Source organism: Homo sapiens, chromosome 9, assembly GCF_000001405.40.
Source record: "Homo sapiens chromosome 9, GRCh38.p14 Primary Assembly".
Lineage (NCBI taxonomy): Eukaryota > Metazoa > Chordata > Mammalia > Primates > Hominidae > Homo > Homo sapiens.
The window spans coordinates 110,735,002-110,752,485 of NC_000009.12; the positions used below are offsets into that span (position 1 = coordinate 110,735,002).

Sequence of the window (17,484 nt, forward strand, 5' to 3'; positions counted from 1 at the left end):
ATATGTTGTATGTGTATGGTGTCAAATGCCATGCAGAAAAATAAATCAGGAAAAGGAGACAGAAAGTTCAACCTTAGGAGAAATCAGAACTCTCCTACACTGTTCATGGGAATGGGAATTACTACAGTCACTATGGAAAACAGTATGGCGGTTACTCAAAAAGCTAAAAATGGAATTGCCATATGATCCACCAATCCACTACTGGGTATACAGTCAAAAGAAAGAAAATCAGTATATCTAAGAGGTATCTGCACTCCCATGTTTATTGCGGCACTATTCACAATAACCAAGATATAGAATCAAACTAAGTATCCATCAATGGATGAATGGATACAGAAAATGTGGTACATATACACAATGAAAGAAATATTACTAATCCATAAGAAGAATAAAATCCTGTTATTTGCAACAACATGGATGGAACCGCAGGACATTATGTTAAGTGAAATAAACCAGACACAGCAAGAAAAGTATTTCATGTTCTCTTTCATAACTAAAAAAATTGATCTCATGGAGATAGAGAGTAGAATGATGGATATCAGAGGCTGGGAAAGGTAGTGGGGAAGGGAGGATAAAGAGGGGTTCGTTCATGGGTACATAAGTTAGAAGGAACAATATTGAGTGCTTAGTAGCTTTATTAGTCAGTTCTCGCATCGCGATAAAGAAATACCTGAGACTGGGTAATTTATAAAGAAAAGAGGTTTAATTGGCTCATGGTTCTGCAGGCTATTCAGGAAGCATAATGGCTTCTGCTTCTGGGGAGGCCTCCAGAAACTTACAATCATGGCAGAAAGCAAAGTGGGAGCAAGACATCTCACATGGCCAGAGCAGGAAGGAGAGGAAAGGTGCCACACACGTTTAAACAACCAGATCTCACAATTCACTCACTCACTATCATGAGAACAGCACTGAGGGGATGGTGTTAACCCATTCATGAGACTTCTGTCCCCATGATCCAATCACCCCACGCCAGGCCCAACTCCAACACTGGGAATTACAATTCGACTTGAGATTTGGTGGGGACACAGATCTAAACCATAGCAATAGCACAACAGGACAACTATACATAGTTCACGATATTGAACTACATAGCACAATACAATATTTAAGTATTTCAAAATATCAAGAAGAGTGGAATTGGAATGTTCCTAGCACAAAAAAATGACAAATTACTTAGGTGATGGATATCCCAATTATCCTAATTTGATCATTACACATTGTATGCTTATATCAAAATTTCACATGTACCCCATAAATATGTACAACTATTATATATCCATAAAATTTTAAATTAAGAAACATTTTAAACAGAAAGTTAGACCTCAGGAGGAAGATTATATTTTTAAAAGAATGATCAGTGAAGGCTCATTTGGACAAAGACATTTGAACAAAGATCTGAAGGAGTTGAAGGGTGAAGTTACATAGATAACTGGGGGAACATAACTAGACAAAGTCTCTGAGATAATGGTATACATGGCATGTCAGAAAAACAGCAAGGAGACCAATGTGGTTAGTGGGGAGTAAGCAAAGGGTCAAGAGATGAGAGGCAGGCATTGTGGATCCTATAGGCCGTGTGGTCATTTAGACAACTTTGCTTTTATTTGAGTGAGATGAGGTGCCACTGTAGGTCTGTTTCTGTTGTCTGTTTTCCCACTGATTCTTGTTCATTTTGTGTTGTTTCCTTGTGTGCCTAGCTATCTTTGATTACCTGCTGTGCATTGTTTTGTATAAAAATATCAGGAACTATTTTGAGGTCTAGATGAAGGTATTTTCCTCCAAAGAGAATTTTGCTTGTTTCTGCCAGGGACAAGAGGTTACTGCTAATCTTGTACCACCTTCAACTAAGCTCAAGGTATGAAGCTCCTTGGGCATCCCAGATAATTATAACATGACCAGTAATTCATTATGTGGACTATTTAACTTGTAGTTCACACTGATAGCTCCCTGATATCTAGTTCTTTTATATCTTAATTTATTATATCTCTTATTAGACTCTTAAGGGCATGAAGTTTTGATTTATCTCCTGACTCCCTAAGGCCATCCAAAGGAAAGTTCAAATTTTCTGGGTTTGGAAAACTCTCTAAGGGTAAATAAGATTTTCTTAGTTTGTTACATCTGTTAAAAATTTTTTTTTCAAAATTTTAATTTTCTCACTGTGTAGCTTTGTCTGAATAACCTAACATCAACATCTGAGACAGAAACCTACCATGGATTTTTATTGTCATTATATAGACTTTAACCACTTTGGTTTGCACCGAGTCTTTAGTTTCTGATACTCTTTATGAGGTTAAGAAAATGTATTTTTATTCTTAATTTGATAATTATTTTTAATATAAATATATTTTAAAATCAATAAAACACTTCATCATCAATTACATCCTCTTTTTGATGTCATTTTTCACTTTAAATTGCAAAGTTTCCCTTATATTGAACCATTCTTTCATTTCTGAATACATTGCTTTTTTGTTTAATTTTTTAATTGTGTTGTTTCAATTTTCTGTATTTCTTTCAGGATTATTTGCATCTATTTTCAATAACAGAAATGGTTTTGTCTTTTAGTAGGCTATCATGATCAGGCTTTGTTAATATTTTTCCAATCTTATAGAATAGACTGCCAAGTTTACATAGTTTCCTTTGATACAGAGCTTGAGGTGAGAAAGTTGAGATGCAAGTCTTTCTTATACTCCAAGACATTTTCCTCTACTATACCAATAATTACTGCTTCTCTCTTCTCCACATCCTTTCTATGTAGACTCCATTGAAATGAATTTCTTTCAAAACTTCAATCTTTCTCTTCTTTATGCTCTGCATATGTTTGTGGAGGAAATAGGGGGCCCTATTTTATCTGTCAGGTTATTCTCAAGCTCTAGTGTCCACCATGATTGTCAACTATAGGAACCCACAACAGAAAATCTCATTCGCAATCTCTATCTCACAGGTAGATGCCTCAGCCTGGTGCCATATGCATACATTATAGCTCCCAGAGTTCTTCAATTACTTTGCTGACTTTCTTAAAGTTGGCTCCTGCTTACAGCCCCTGCTATCTGAAGTTTGAAATTTTCCATGACTTTGTAGGGAAAATGTATCCATTCTCCTCTCAGTAAACCTCTTCTTTTGTGCTAGGTTTCAGCTACTTAGTTGATGTTAATTTTTCTATCTATCAAATCACCTCTTTTTATCTTCCAGAATTTGCTGGAAATATCTGATCCTTTGATTATAATACCATCTTTCTATATATTTACTTTTCTTAATTTTGTATTTATCTTTTAGGATTTCAGGTCCATAAACAAGGGTTAAACATGTGAGCTAAGATTATTATTACTGTAACTCTGATGTTAATGAACATGACTTGCATAGAGCACTATCTTATTATTTTCTTTGTCATTTAAAAATATTCAGCAGAGCAAGTTCTTTTGCTACTATCTAAGCCTACCTTAAGCAGGCTCTGTGATTTTTCTGGTTACTATTAGATGATTTGAAATCATTAACATTATCCCAACTTAGTCATTTAAGTGTCTAGTCCTAAGTAATAACCAAAGCATCCAATGGCATTCACAGTTCCTCCCTTCTCAGGGATATTTCAGCTTAACTTTCATATAAGAAAAAATTGCAGTTGGCTTCTTACCTCATGCTCACTCATTCTTCCCCCATTTCCTAGCTGCTCTTTATGACCCCAGAAGGGGTGGGTGGGAGGTAGGGAGGAGCAATAACTGGTGCAAGAGAGCTCTAATTCAACTGATGCACTTGTAAGTTGGCTTTATACCTTCTGTGCCTGCCAGATATTTAAAACTGACTCTTACCCTCATAGACCTATTCATGATTCTTCAGAAATCAGGGAACATTAAGATGATACCAGTGATGCATTTTCCTCAGGCTATCCATCTTTGGCCACATTAGCAAGTCCCCAATTTGTTAGTTGATGGAAAGTCTCTTTGTGTTGGGGTCTAATCAGTCCCCCAAAAAGTCATCTTGGGAGGACTGAAAATGACTCCCAATCAGATCTTCTATAAAACCTTTTTATTGACAAACTCTGGAAGCCCAGACCATTGGACTCTGTCTTCTTTGTTCCTTCCATTGGAGCTGCCAGACATCCTTTAGATTTTACAGGTGGGAATTACATACTTGTCTAATGTGTCTCCAAATTGCAAGTGTGTTAGAGTCCCCAAGATCACATTCATGTCTGATGATTCATGAGAAGGACTCACAGATTTTAGATAAGCTGTTATGATTATGGCTTATTGCAGGAAAAGGATATAGATTAAAATCATCAAAGAGGCATCAGTTTTCCTCTTCTAGTGAAGTTGCATGGACAGCACTTCATTCTCCCAGCAACAATGTGTGACAGCATGCATGAAGTATTGTCAACCAAGGAGGCTCACCCTAACCTTGGTGTCCAGAGTTTTTACTGGAGCTCAGTTACATAGATGTGGAGTGCTCACATAACTAGTCTTAGCTAGTTTCCAGCCCCTCCAAAGGTCAAACTAATACAACGTGGCCTAGGATTCCAAGTATTCACTATCATTCACATTATTATCATAAACCATCCAGCATTGCCCAAAATCTCAGATATATAAAGATATTCTTATTACACAGGATATTCCAAGGGGCAGAGGTCATCTCTCAGGAGCCAAAGGCCAGACCTTTCTTTGGAATGTGTAGGGTTTGAGCACCTCGAGCCCATTGAGTTAGCCCTTCAACTTTTTACTGCACAGCAGTAAAACACATTTATAACTCTCCGGGTGGTCCCATGGAGGATACTTTTATCCCTTAAGGAGATGGGTGCATGTCCAACCCAGTCCTTTGGGTGGATTGAGAATGGCTTTCAATATGGCTGAACAACCCAAACCTTTATAACTCATCTAACTGGTGGCTATTTTCAGTTTTCATTTCCTCCAGGACAGGCTGTCCAACTTTTTGGTATCTTGGCTGTAGTGAACATATATTATCATATTACAATATATTAATGGTACCATTTGGAGATCAAAGAAGTGTCCCAAATCGGGACACTTTAATATCCACATCATCCCAAATTGTGTTTAATGCAAGCATCACAACAAGAAAATGGGGGACTTCTTTTTAAGGAAGGCAAAACCTTATGGTATAATTCAAATGATATTAAGTATAATTTCTACCCAATCCAAGGCACATTCCTTCATGGACTTGAACTATTTCATGTCTTCATGACTTTCTCTTCTCCAGGATTACATTAGTATTTAGGGCTGCCATAATAGAATACCACAGATAGGGTGTCTTAAAAAACAGAATTTTTTTTCCTACAGTTCTAAAAGCTGGAAGTCCAAGGTCAAGGTGCTATCAGGGTTGGTTTCTGGTAAGGCCTCTCTTCCTGGCTTGCAGATGGCTTCACATGGTTATCTCCCTGTATTCTCACAGGGCTTTCTCTCCTTGTGTGTGCACTTCTGGTGTCTGTGCCTACAATGATGAGCGCCAAAAATCCCAGAGTGTTTTTTCATAACACAGTTCTCATTCCAAAATAGTTTTTATTCCTCTCTTTTATAGACCATTATAAGGTTTCTTCCTCTAAATTAAATAACAGTGACTAAAACTAAGGCAAATACTCTGGAGCAAAATAAAAACTAAAAAACAGATAGCCTTAAAGCAGGAAGTTACCCTGTCACTAGGGCTTGGCATACTGTAGGCTTTAGAAGCATTTCGCGGCATGAAAGAATGGTAACCCTGAGGCATCTCCATGTAATAAGTTAATTTGTATACTGCTTTTAAATAAAGTTAAACAACTTACAGTTTCAGAAAGATAGAAGGGAAGAGCATTCGGAAGACTGGGAGTGAAGTTTCCCGGGCCTGAACCCTTATTCAAAGGCGTCTCGACATGGATAACCTCGAGAACATTATGCTAAGTGAAATAAGCCAGATACAGAAAGGCAAATACCAAATGATCTCACTTATATGTGGAATCTAAGAGTTGAACTCATAGAAGCACAGAATAGAATAGTGGCTGTCAGGGATGGGAGGATGGGGAGATGATCATCAAAGGGTACAAAGTTTCAGTCATGCAAGATGAATTAAGTACTGTAGATGTAATGTACAATATGGTGACTACAGCTAACAACACTGTATTGCGCACTTGAAATTTGCTAAGAGGGTAGATCCTAAGTGTTCTCAAAACACACACACAAAGGTAACCATGTGAGATGATACTTCACTAGCTTGATTGCAGTAATCATTTCATAATATACATATATATCTCAAAACATCACCTTGTTCACCTTAAATATATACAATTTCTATTTGTGAGTTATACCACCAATAAGCTAAAAAAAATTAAAAGTCTAAATTTTTTTAAAGGAGTTTCAAAAACTAATGCTTTGCTCTATACTTGTACCTGGCCCCACCCTTGTCTCTCTAAAGCAGGGTGCCCTAGGAAGACTGATTGGCTGTAGCCCCAAAAGGTGAGAACTAGGACATAAGATAAGAAAGGGAAGAAGGGAAAGGGAGAGAAGGAAGTGGGGAACAAAGTGCGTCAATGTGTGAAATTTTAGTTGGATGTTGTAAAACAGGAAAAAAAATGCCAAATTCTATGGCTACCCCAATAACAAAGAATGTCTTATGGCAATGGCACCCTCCAAGTCATATAATTCATTTATTATTGTCACTTTCACTATTGTTTTCGCTGAAGTCTTTTTTCTGTTACTTGAACAAAATCATTTTTTTCGTAATTTGTTAATAAAATTGTTTCATTTTATCTGTCTATCCTACATCCCTTCAAATACAGTACACAAACAAATGAACGTGCTTTTCCAGCTTGTAACTTGAGGCATGGTAGAATGAGAATTAGATGGGGAGTTGGAAGACTGAGGTTGTAAATGCCCCTCTTTAGTTAATGTGATTTTGGGGTCCGTTTACAACTCAGACACTGATTTTCTCATATCTATCTACACTAACACAGACGTCAGGTGGCTGTCAAAGATGATCTCTAATGGTATAATTAGAGACATCAGGGCTAATGTTCTCTAATTTTGTCCAGTTATGATAAAGTAACTTGGAGTGCCTGTTCTTTACCTCTCTAAGAACGTTTCAAGTGTCATTTAAAATTTGATTCTTATTTGTCAATGTGTTTTTTGGCTCCTCTGTGGAAACTGTTATAGTCTTAAGCCTGTCAAGGGAGTATAAAGACATCCTAAGAAAATTTGGAGACTGGGCCGGGTGCGGTGACTCACTCCTGTAATCCCAGCACTTTTGGAGGCCAAGGTGGGAGGATTATGAGGTCAGGATGGAGACCATCCTGGCTAACACGGTGAAAACCTCGTATCTACTAAAAATACAAAAAATTTAGTCAGGCGTGGTGGCACATGTCTGTAGTCCCAGCTACTTGGGAGGCTGAGGCAGAAGAATCACTTGAATCCAGGAGGTGGAGGTTACAGTGAGCCAAGATTGCGCCACTGCACTCCAGTCTGGGCAACAGAGAGAAACTCCATCTCAAAAAATAAACAAAATAAAATTGGGAGACTGACAATATAACTTCACTAATTTGTCTATGTAAAAATAGTAATAAAGAAAATGGAAAGGTATATACTTTTTAAATTTCTAGTATTTTCAAAAGATTCATATGAGGTTATAAATGGAAGATAAATGATTATTCTCTGTCGAAGTTTAGGAATAACAAGAGTAGGATAGTTTAAGATAGTTGAGGCCTTATTGAGACCCCAACTTATTCATTCAACATGTGACTCACAAAAAGTGAAAGGCAAAATAGATTTATCACCTCAGATTCTAAAACAGGAATAAAACAAACAAAGTGACTTTCATCCAGGAAGAAAGCAAAAGTACATCCGCAGTTCTTACGGTCAGAGAGTGTGTGCTGCTCTTAGAGCCAAGTTTAGTTCTTGGTAATTCTACCCAAGTCTGAAAGGAAATCAAGATGACTGTCCACATTGACGCAAATCACAGGACATGGAGGCAATGTCAGGCATTTAATGTTGTAAAAGTTGCAAACCAGAAATCCCATGGAGGAGAACACAGAGAATCCTATAGTCCTGATATCATTTTTGGTGGAATGAACAAAGACGAACGCAGAGCTGGGAGATATTTGGCACAGAATGAAACAGAGTTTGAACTGTGGCTCTTCACTCACTACGAGTTAGTAAACTAATGCCATAGCACGCTGCTCAGTACAATGGGTACTCTGAAAGAAGTGAGTGCTCCCTTTCTCCCCTGCTGTGAACCTGCCAGTGAACCAAAACCCTTAACAGTTAGAGCCAAAGAGCAGGAGAAAGTCCAGCAACGTGTCCCAAAGTGATTAGAAACTATCTTGCTTTCCTCCTATGGAAATACCAAGCATTTTTTGTGGAAATCTGAATTCACAGATGAAGTTCAGAGTGAATAGTAACATTCCTTTTGTTTTACAATCTTGGAAATAGTAGTTTGGCATGGAAAGAGCAGAGCTTACTTTTTAAAAAGAAAATTATTTGTATTTTTATAACCAGATTTATTTATAGTTATACCAGTAATATCTCTGTTATTTTGGCATGCAACTAAAAAATATAGAAAAATTTCATGTCCCTCTTGCTTTGTCCAATAAATATAATTTCTAAAATATTGTAGAAGTTGAATAATTTTAACTTGTTAGAAGAATTTTATAAAATAAACAGCCAAATCACCTAGGTTGAAGGTTGTCTTTTAGAATTTTCTTAAAGGGAGGCATATCTATATTTAGACATATTTTTAAGAGGCAGTAGTTTTGCTTTAAAATATATGACCTGTGAAGTCCTTTTATCTTACTAGCTGTGTAAACCAAAATAATTACATGTAACAAGTCTTATGTGGAATAATTCAGCAGCCAGTTTGAAAGAGGCTAATTAATATTTGTGGCTACATTAATCAGAAAAACTATGGAAATGTCTCTTGGTTTATTATCCCTTTTTCTATGATTCATAAACAGACATTATTACAACTGCATAAACATGAACCCTACTGGGCAACATCCTTTTTTTTTTTTTTATTTTTTTCCCCAAGATGGAGTCTTGCTCTGTCATGAGGCTGGAGTGCAGTGGCGCGATCTCAGCTCACTGCAACCTCCACCTCCTGGGTTCAAGCAATGCTCCTGCCTCAGCCTCTGGAGTAGCTGGGACTACAGGTGGGTGCCATCAAGCCCAGCTAACTTTTTGTATTCTTAGTAGAGACAGGGTTTCACCATGTGAGCCAGGATGGTCTTGATCTCCTAACCTCGTGATCTGCCTGCCTTGGTCTTCCAAAGCGCTGGGATTACAGGCATGAGCCACTGCACCCGGCCCTGGGCCATATTCTAACAGTTCCACAGGATATTTCCAGCCAGCTGGAACTATCTGCAAGACAGGGCCATTGAGGCCAGAATACCTTTCAGAGGTCTTCCCTAGCTAAGGTCAAATCATAAAATTATCGGATTATCCATAGCTGGGGGTGGATTCTCTCAAGACCGCATTAGTAATGTATTAATGATACATTAAGAAGTACTCCACAGGTCTATAACTGCTCAATCACCTTCAAAGAGTTTTTACACACATTATGTCAGGCATGAATTATTATGCCTATTTAATAGAGCTTCCTATCCTACTGCCTCTTTTTAGAAAAAAAAGTTTTATTGTGATCTTTATTGTATACATTTAAGGTACAAAACATGATGTTTAGATAAACATATACAGTGAAATGATTACTATAGTCAAGCAAATTAACAAGTCCATCTCCTCACATAGTTACAGCTAACTTAGAAAGACAGAACATCACACCCAGAGCAGGGAGCTGTGTCTCCAGCTCCCTCAGGTCCATATACCTGAGTGACTTGGAGAAAATCATGCATTTCCTGTAACTACCAGACGTAGTCACCTCAATTAAGTAATCTGTTTTGCTTAGGCATACCTTGGTAAAAGCTCACAGTACTAATCTGGACCCACCCCTTTGATCTTTGAAACCTGAGGTGCGAAAAAATATCAAAATGGAGGGCAGAGGGATTTGTTTTTATTTTCAGATCATCAAAAATACTAAACTGTTGATCAGAACCATCCATGAAGAAAGAAAAACAAATTCAAACTATGACTAATGGGGCCTGCTGTGCGTGAGTCACAAACTGAATCAAGCAAGGCCTCTGGAAGCAGGGGGAAAAGCATTCAGGAGTCACTTTGTACTCAAGCATGAACCTCCTAAAGTGTTGGTCTCTTTGCTGAACTATTTCAACACCTGGATGAAGTCCAGGAGAAGAGACGTCAGGCAGTTTAAAAATTGCTTCTCTTTCCTACTAAGGATGTTTTCAGTGACCTTGAGGAGGTGTTTAAGAATGACTTTCTTAGGTGTGAACATGAAAACAGTGGGACTTAGGGCAACATTTGGGGAGATTCCTTGCTTCAAAGTTGTCTCTAAGGCATTGCACATTCCTACTTCTTGCAGGAGGGAACTGTCTTTCCAAAGGATTTTGCAAACTGTTCTGCTTTTGCTTATCTAAACTGGAAAGAGATATATAAACAAAATATAAAATACAAAATAACATAAAGTCTGTTGATTGAGCATAGAGGCTTGGGGTCTTTAGCTTTTTTTCTTATTGTTGCTTTGTATTAAAATTCAAGGGAGTCCAAATATTTTCAGTCCCCTTGATCTAACTGGGATACTCATACAATGAGACATTGCACTTCTGATAAATATGATAATGATGAGTTTAGTTTGAATTCCCAACTGAGTGCATGTCTCTTAAAAACATTTTTCTCTTCACTTTGTAAATTTCTTATAGAGTCTAGGTTGCTCATCTGGGGAAAATGCCACAATACTTGATCTGACCTGGAAAGATTCCCAGTGAAGGTAAATTGATACTCACATAAGCCAGTTTTTATCATAAGAATTGAGACTAGTACTGAAGGTAAAGAATAAAAAGCTAGTTGGACAAACGTTCACTGCATGATTGCTACACAGTGCTTGGTGCCAGGGATAGCCAGCCACCTGGCAGCTAGGAAGAAAGCTGGCCTTACCTCAGAGCTTTCTTCTTCCTGGCTAGTCAAACTGTGAAAATCCTTTCTCATGCAACACAATAAAATAATTGGCTCCAAAATGTCTCATTCTCAGCCTCATTCCCTAATACTGGACACAGGAATCTCTTTCAGCCAAGCAGCCAAGCTCAGGCCAACATGGGACGTACCTCCACTCCTTTAAGATAAAGTCAAAGCATAACACCAGCTGATTCCTTAACTGTCATTTCACTCCAGTTTCCCTCAATTGGCATCATGTTTCCCTGATATAAGCAGCGTTAATTAAAGATTAGTTATTGAAAAGGTGGTATTGTGCTCAAGAAAACAGTGAAAAAAGAACCACCATTTAAAAAAAATGCCACCACCTTAACAATGACATTTGTCAGATATGTATTTTGTTCATGGTTGGTTGATTTGTTAAGGTAGTTGTTACTCTTGTTTTCTAATGACTGCTCATTTGTTCTCTCTTCTAGGACTAGGGAAGGCACTGTAACATAATGATTAAAAGCATAGGCTTTGGTGTCAGACACGCTAGGATGCAAATTCTAACTATGCAACCTTGTAAAATGTGCTGGGCAGCTATCTTTCCTACAGAGTTGGAGTAATGTTGACTAATATATATGCATTTGTATAAATTAAGCTGTTAATTGTGTGTCAATATTGCATTGATATCTTGGCTCTTTAAGGACATTTGATTTTCTGGTTTAAGTAGTACCTCCTGCATGAACTTCCTGACGTGTTGAACTATTTCAACACCTGGATGAAGTCCAGGAGAAGAGAGGTCAGGCAGTTTAAAAACTGCTTCTGTTTCCTACTAAGGATGTTTTCGGTGACCTTGAGGTATTATGTATGTATTATGTATGTCATGCCTCAGAGACAGACTTGGCTTCACAACCATTTTTCCTGACAACCATCCACCTATCTGACATGCATTTATGGGGAACTGAACAGGAGTTATGAAAATAAGTCCTTAAGTCTGCAACCTCTCATACTTAACTGTCATCTGTAGGACACTGAAGACATATATCAGAGGATCCACACCGTATATAATTCATGCCTTGTATTGGTTATCTATGGTTGTATCACAAATCAGCCCAAAGCTTAGTGACTTAAACCAATAACTATTAGTGCTCACAAGTCTGTGGTTCAACTGGGTGGTTTTGCTGATTTGGTTTTGCTGCTGGGCAGGACTGCCTGATCTTGGCTGGTCAAGTTCCTGTGATCGGCAGATTGAAAAGGTGGTAGTTGGTTCAGAATAGCCTTATGCGTACCTTGGATGGTTGTTGTTGGTTCCCACCTGGGGCAGAGGGGATAAACGGGCCAGGTGTGTTTCATCTTCTACCATGCTGGCTCTTGCTTGTTTATAGGCAGTCCCAGGTTCCATAAACAAGAAAGCAAGCCACAATGTGCAAGAACGTTAGTTTCTGCTCATTCATTCCAAAACACATCACAAGGCTAATCTAGATTCAAATTATGGAGGAAAATGCTACTTCTTGAGGGAAGAGCTACAAAGTCACATTGCAAGGGCATGGACACAGGGAGGGAAAATCTTTTGGCTATGTTTGCAGTGTACCACATGCACTTGATTATAATCTTAATGCTTTTCCCTTCAAATCTACTGACATAGTATAGTGGGAAATCCTTGACTGAGTTCTTTTATTTTCCTTTACTCTGTCAGGTTTCTTCTGGGTCCATTCAAGAGAGTGTGAAAGACCGAGTGATTGACTCAAGACTGCAGCTGTTTATCACCAAGCCAGGACTCTACACATGCATAGCTACCAATAAGCATGGGGAGAAGTTCAGTACTGCCAAGGCTGCAGCCACCATCAGCATAGCAGGTAGGATGCCCCTTCACATTTGCGTTGTTCCAGGAGAGGGGAGAGTTGATACTATTCTACAATATCGAGCATTGGAGAAAATCTCCCTTTTCTTTTATCTCTTATTTCAGTTGCATTTGGGCTATTTCCTCCCCCATGGGGATACTCCGGAGGTGACCTAGATATGGATTTTGGCAGATTTGCTGCCTGGAAAACTAAATCCTCAATACCTACCCAAGTGGTAGGTAACAGCTTCCAGGAACTCACTTCTTCCTTCCTTCTTGTTTTTCTTATCTTTTTTCCTTTTCTCCATTTCTCTTTCCTCCCTCCCTCCTTCCCTCCCTCGCTCCCTTTTTTCCTTCCTTCTTTCCTTCCTTCCCTTATTCCCTCCTTCATTCCTCCCTCCTTCCCTCCCTCCCTCTTCCCTTCCCTCCCTCCCTCTTTTCCTTTTCTTTAATTTCCTTTCCTTTTCCCCACTCCTCGTTCTCTCTTTTGGTTGATCAAACTTTCCAAGTCTCTCATGGAGAAAGTTGGCAGACATTCAACATGGTCATGCCAATTTCTGCATGGCTATTTCTTGCGGGCATTTTTACCTGTGAGCATGATCCCTGTGGTCTTTCCCTTCCCTGCTTCAGCAAGCCACAGCAGGTCTTACAGGTGTTTTCAAGAAAAAGGCTGACACACGGATTTCTAGGATGTTTGTGTTGAGTTCTAAAGGTTTATTTTTAAAATGTAAATGTCCCAAAGGCTTCTGAGAACATTTATAGAATTCCTAGAGATGGAAATAATCCCTGTATCAGGAAATGCCAGGCATATTAGATTCATAGCGTGCCTAGGGCTCAAGGGTCAGGAGAGAGGTGCTTGGCCTGACATGTAAGGCAAGCACGGATAGAGCTTGTGCCTAGGGCCAACTCCCCACAGCCTGCTGTTTCTTATTACAGTGCCACCTCTTTGATCTTCCCTGATGGGGAACTTTCCAGTAATGTCTGTGATTTGTAATATGAGGTGAATAAAAACCACAGATAAATGATAAGGAGCACTGGACAAGGCTGGCCCTCTGGGACTGCCTATGAAGGAAAAGGAAGACTTCAAAATTAAGGTTCCCTCTCCTTTCTCCCCCCAGTGATATCTCTGCCTACCATGTCTTCAGACACCATATCAGTTATTCTAGCATTTCCACAGGTGGGAAATTATTTCTCCCAGAAAATGAAAAGTCTTCTAAAAGTAAATTCAACTCAATTTAACAAATAATAATAATATCACATAATAAGTAATAGTATAATCATATAATATAAATAGTAATAAGAATTACTATTTACATAGCACTTTGCTGTTTATAAAGCACTTTTACATGCATTTATCAAATACTCTAGATGACGCCCATTGTGTTGGGTAGAGTAAGAGATGAAAAGTTAATTTAAAAATGGGTCCTGCCTTCCAGGGACTCTGCATCTAGAAGGAAGTCAGTCAGTCACGTATATTATGGCACTGGCTGTATTCTATTGCAGAAGCATACACAAAATACAACAGCAGAACAAGAGAGGCAGGATGTCAGGGAATCCTTGGAAAAGAGGTATCATTGGAGCAGAAGATGTGGATATGAGATGACTAGGTTGAAGTCAAACCTTTCAAACCTGTTCAAAAAACAGCAAATCAGTGGTCAAGGCTAGACCACGAGAGAGACAGCAGGGAGGTGGAAAGTGGAAACAAAAGTTGAAACATGGGCTCTAGCCAGGTTATGAAGAGCCTGCATAGGTTTAGTATATTATTTCATTGATGAGAAGTCATTTAATGATTTAGAAGAAATAAGTGCAATAGATATATCCTCTAGCAAATTAACAGATGCTGAGGTGTTAGGAGGTTGAGAAGTGCGGCAAGCTGTCAGGAGGCTCTTCCAGGTGTCTCAAAAAGTCATGAAGGTCTGAACAGCAGCAGCAGCATTGGTTCAAAGGGAAGAGGAGAGATGCACAGGACAAATCAGGATAGAAATAAGGTTTGCAAATGCTTGAAAATGGCAGTGGGCTAGAAGGATGAGTTCAGATGTGTCTGATTTTGAAAGGTGCCCAGGACAAGCAATAATATATAAACACAAAGCATATGAACAGGAGAAGGTCCAGGAGATAATAGAATACTCAAAAATGTTGATGCCTTTGAATTACCTGGAATTATTCTGGTCTCACTGTCTTTGTATTATTTGACATTTGATCAAGACCTACTGTTAAATAAACATATATTTATAAAAATCTATCAATATATATTTATATAACATATATGTATGTATGTGTGTTTATATACACACACATGGAGAGAGAGAGAGAATCACATTTAAATATGAATACTCCATCCAAGAAAATAAACTGATCTACTTTAATTTAACCTGCACTTTCACTGGCAGAAGAAAAATACTAATGTTACTAATCTTAGGAGAGTCTCATTTCAGGTCATTATTCAGTCACTCAAAGATACCCGTGCCAGAGCTCTTTCTCCCTTTTCTTCCTTCTTTCTCTTTCCCTAGATGGCAAAGGAGAAGAGGATTTGTATTTAGGCAGTGGTGTCTTCTGGACACCCCCCACACCACTGCTAACCCCCGGATCTCTAGTGAAGTCTGCAGCTGAACTTGTGATTTTATCTCTTGGCTTGGTTAGGGCCCAGGGGACCTCCCTGGCTGGCTTAGCCTGTTTGAGACATCTTTTGGAGCAGCACAGCCCTCTGCATCTCAGCCAAATCCTTCATCATGCCATTGTCTACACTCTGCTCTGCAACCTCAGAAGCTAGGTCTCCCTGTCTGTCCCTACTGTGGCCCTGTGGCTGGCCTGCTGAATTCCAACTCAGCTCCTTCAGTACTCCTCACAGGGCCTGAAGCAACTTCTAGATCACTTTCAAGGCATACAGAATTCAGGAGAGATTTGGGCTTGCTAACTCAGTTCTGCTGTCTGCCCAACCTTGTCATGCTACCATTTTCACATTAATGTTGCCATCCATGTTGGAGTAAGGGATCCCTGTGGGGTGTTTTACTTATAGCATCCTAAATAAGAAGTTAGAAAAACTCCATCTGCTTTTGGCTTTTTCCTTAATTGATCAATACACCTCTATTCTAGGATTTGCATTCAGAAAAGGGATCTATAAAATCTATAAAATATCCAAATTTTTAATCTCCCTACCTTCCTCCTTTTCACAGCATATGAAGCTGGAAGAGCAGGTGGTCAGGAATCTCCCCCAACCTTCAGTGCAGTAATCTTTAGAGCCTACTCATCATAAGTACAAAGGTGGTTGTGAAGGCAGTGCTATAACCACTGAGGGGAACCTAATAAAATGGGTATATCTACTCCACACAAGGGAAGATTCATCCCATGGACACAATCTTTAAGATGCCGAGAGGACTACAGGGCATGATTGCCACCATACTATATGCAGCAACATCATGACTTCATTCCTGTCCTAGCCCAGATGAGAACCTGATCCAACTCCATAAACGGAACACCAACAGGGAAATCTGTAACCTTAAAAAAACGGCATCTTCCAGTGGTAGAAAGAGCCTAAAGGTCTGAGACAGGCAGTATAGGAAGGCCATGTCCTAGGGTGTAGGGAGAGGTCATCTTAGATATCAGTGTTGAGAAAGACCAGAATGAGGATGGGGACAATCAGCAATGGCCACCCAGGAAAAATAACAGTGGAATTTGCATGGGGGAAGGGATGGTGGGAGCAATGCAAAGATTGGCATGTGGCAGCAGAGAGCAACTTGCAATCTGCTGCAGCAGCAGAGGTGAGTGCCTATGAAGAGCAGTTATCTCTGTAGGAATAATGGTTGTGTAGACTAGAACCAGCTATGACTTTTCATGAGCTTGACAATGGCAGTGCGATGGAGGTCAGCTTTAGAGTGGGGAGAAGTTGGGGACCCTGGAAGTGAGGCTTGAAGCCACTCTGGACAGGGGTATGTTTACAGTAGCTACCCAAGGAACTTGGGTAGAGGTAGAGAAGGCAGCATAAGGAGAGGGTTAACCTATAACTGGGACCTGGGACTTTGCTCTTCTGAACCACAAAGGCAACAATTAAATCTGACCATATACAGAATCATAGTGCTGCACGATGTTCGGAGTCAAGTAAAGAAATGAGAGTTGTTACTCGAAAACTGAAAAATGGAAAAGACTAAAAAGGTCTAGAGTGGATATGATAAATGAGAAACATGCCTATTAATTAAAAAATTGCTACACATCTAGTGTTATTCCCTGGAATAAGACCCTTTTGTCCAACCCCTGATTTGTTTGTCTGGTTGATTCTCACTGATTATTAGGGGACTTGACACTCCTCGACTTTTCCCAAAATTTCCCGAGGCAGACCTAATAAGGGTGTGTCATGAGTGTGATTGAATAAGACTTCTGAACTCCCATGAGACAACTTCCATTTTCTCTTCCTCTTTGACCTGCTCTTGTGAGTTAGACCTGCTAGAAGCCCCATGAAGGTCCCTCTGGAATCACTGAGGAAACTACCTCCCAACACTGGGGTGCTCCGTGGACTGATATTTTAGGGAAATGAGGCTACTTCGATGAAAAAGGGATCCTTGGAGCCTCTTTCATTCAGGGTCATTTGAAAGAAGCATGGCCTTATGCTCCCCAGATCTCCCAGAACTCAAGTATGGTATCTGCTTTCTCCATTTCTGCTTTTGGCCCCTCTCTCGGCATCCGATGAGGCTGGCCAGAAGTCCAGAA

General features: G+C 39.4%; 1 protein-coding gene across 9 annotated transcripts in view; it reads left to right on the forward strand.

Annotated features, from left to right (window-relative positions):
- The window catches only part of MUSK (muscle associated receptor tyrosine kinase), a 137,768-nt gene that overhangs the window by 66,211 nt on the left and 54,073 nt on the right, over positions 1-17,484 (forward strand). For 8 of the 9 annotated variants that reach the window (XM_005251994.4, XM_005251995.4, XM_017014734.2 and 5 more), the window contains one exon: positions 12,640-12,799. In XM_005251994.4, coding sequence (XP_005252051.1) covers positions 12,640-12,799 — 160 coding nt within the window. Of the gene's footprint in view, positions 1-12,639; positions 12,800-17,484 lie in introns of those variants that run through there. The other variant, XM_011518708.3, reaches the window with a different exon arrangement.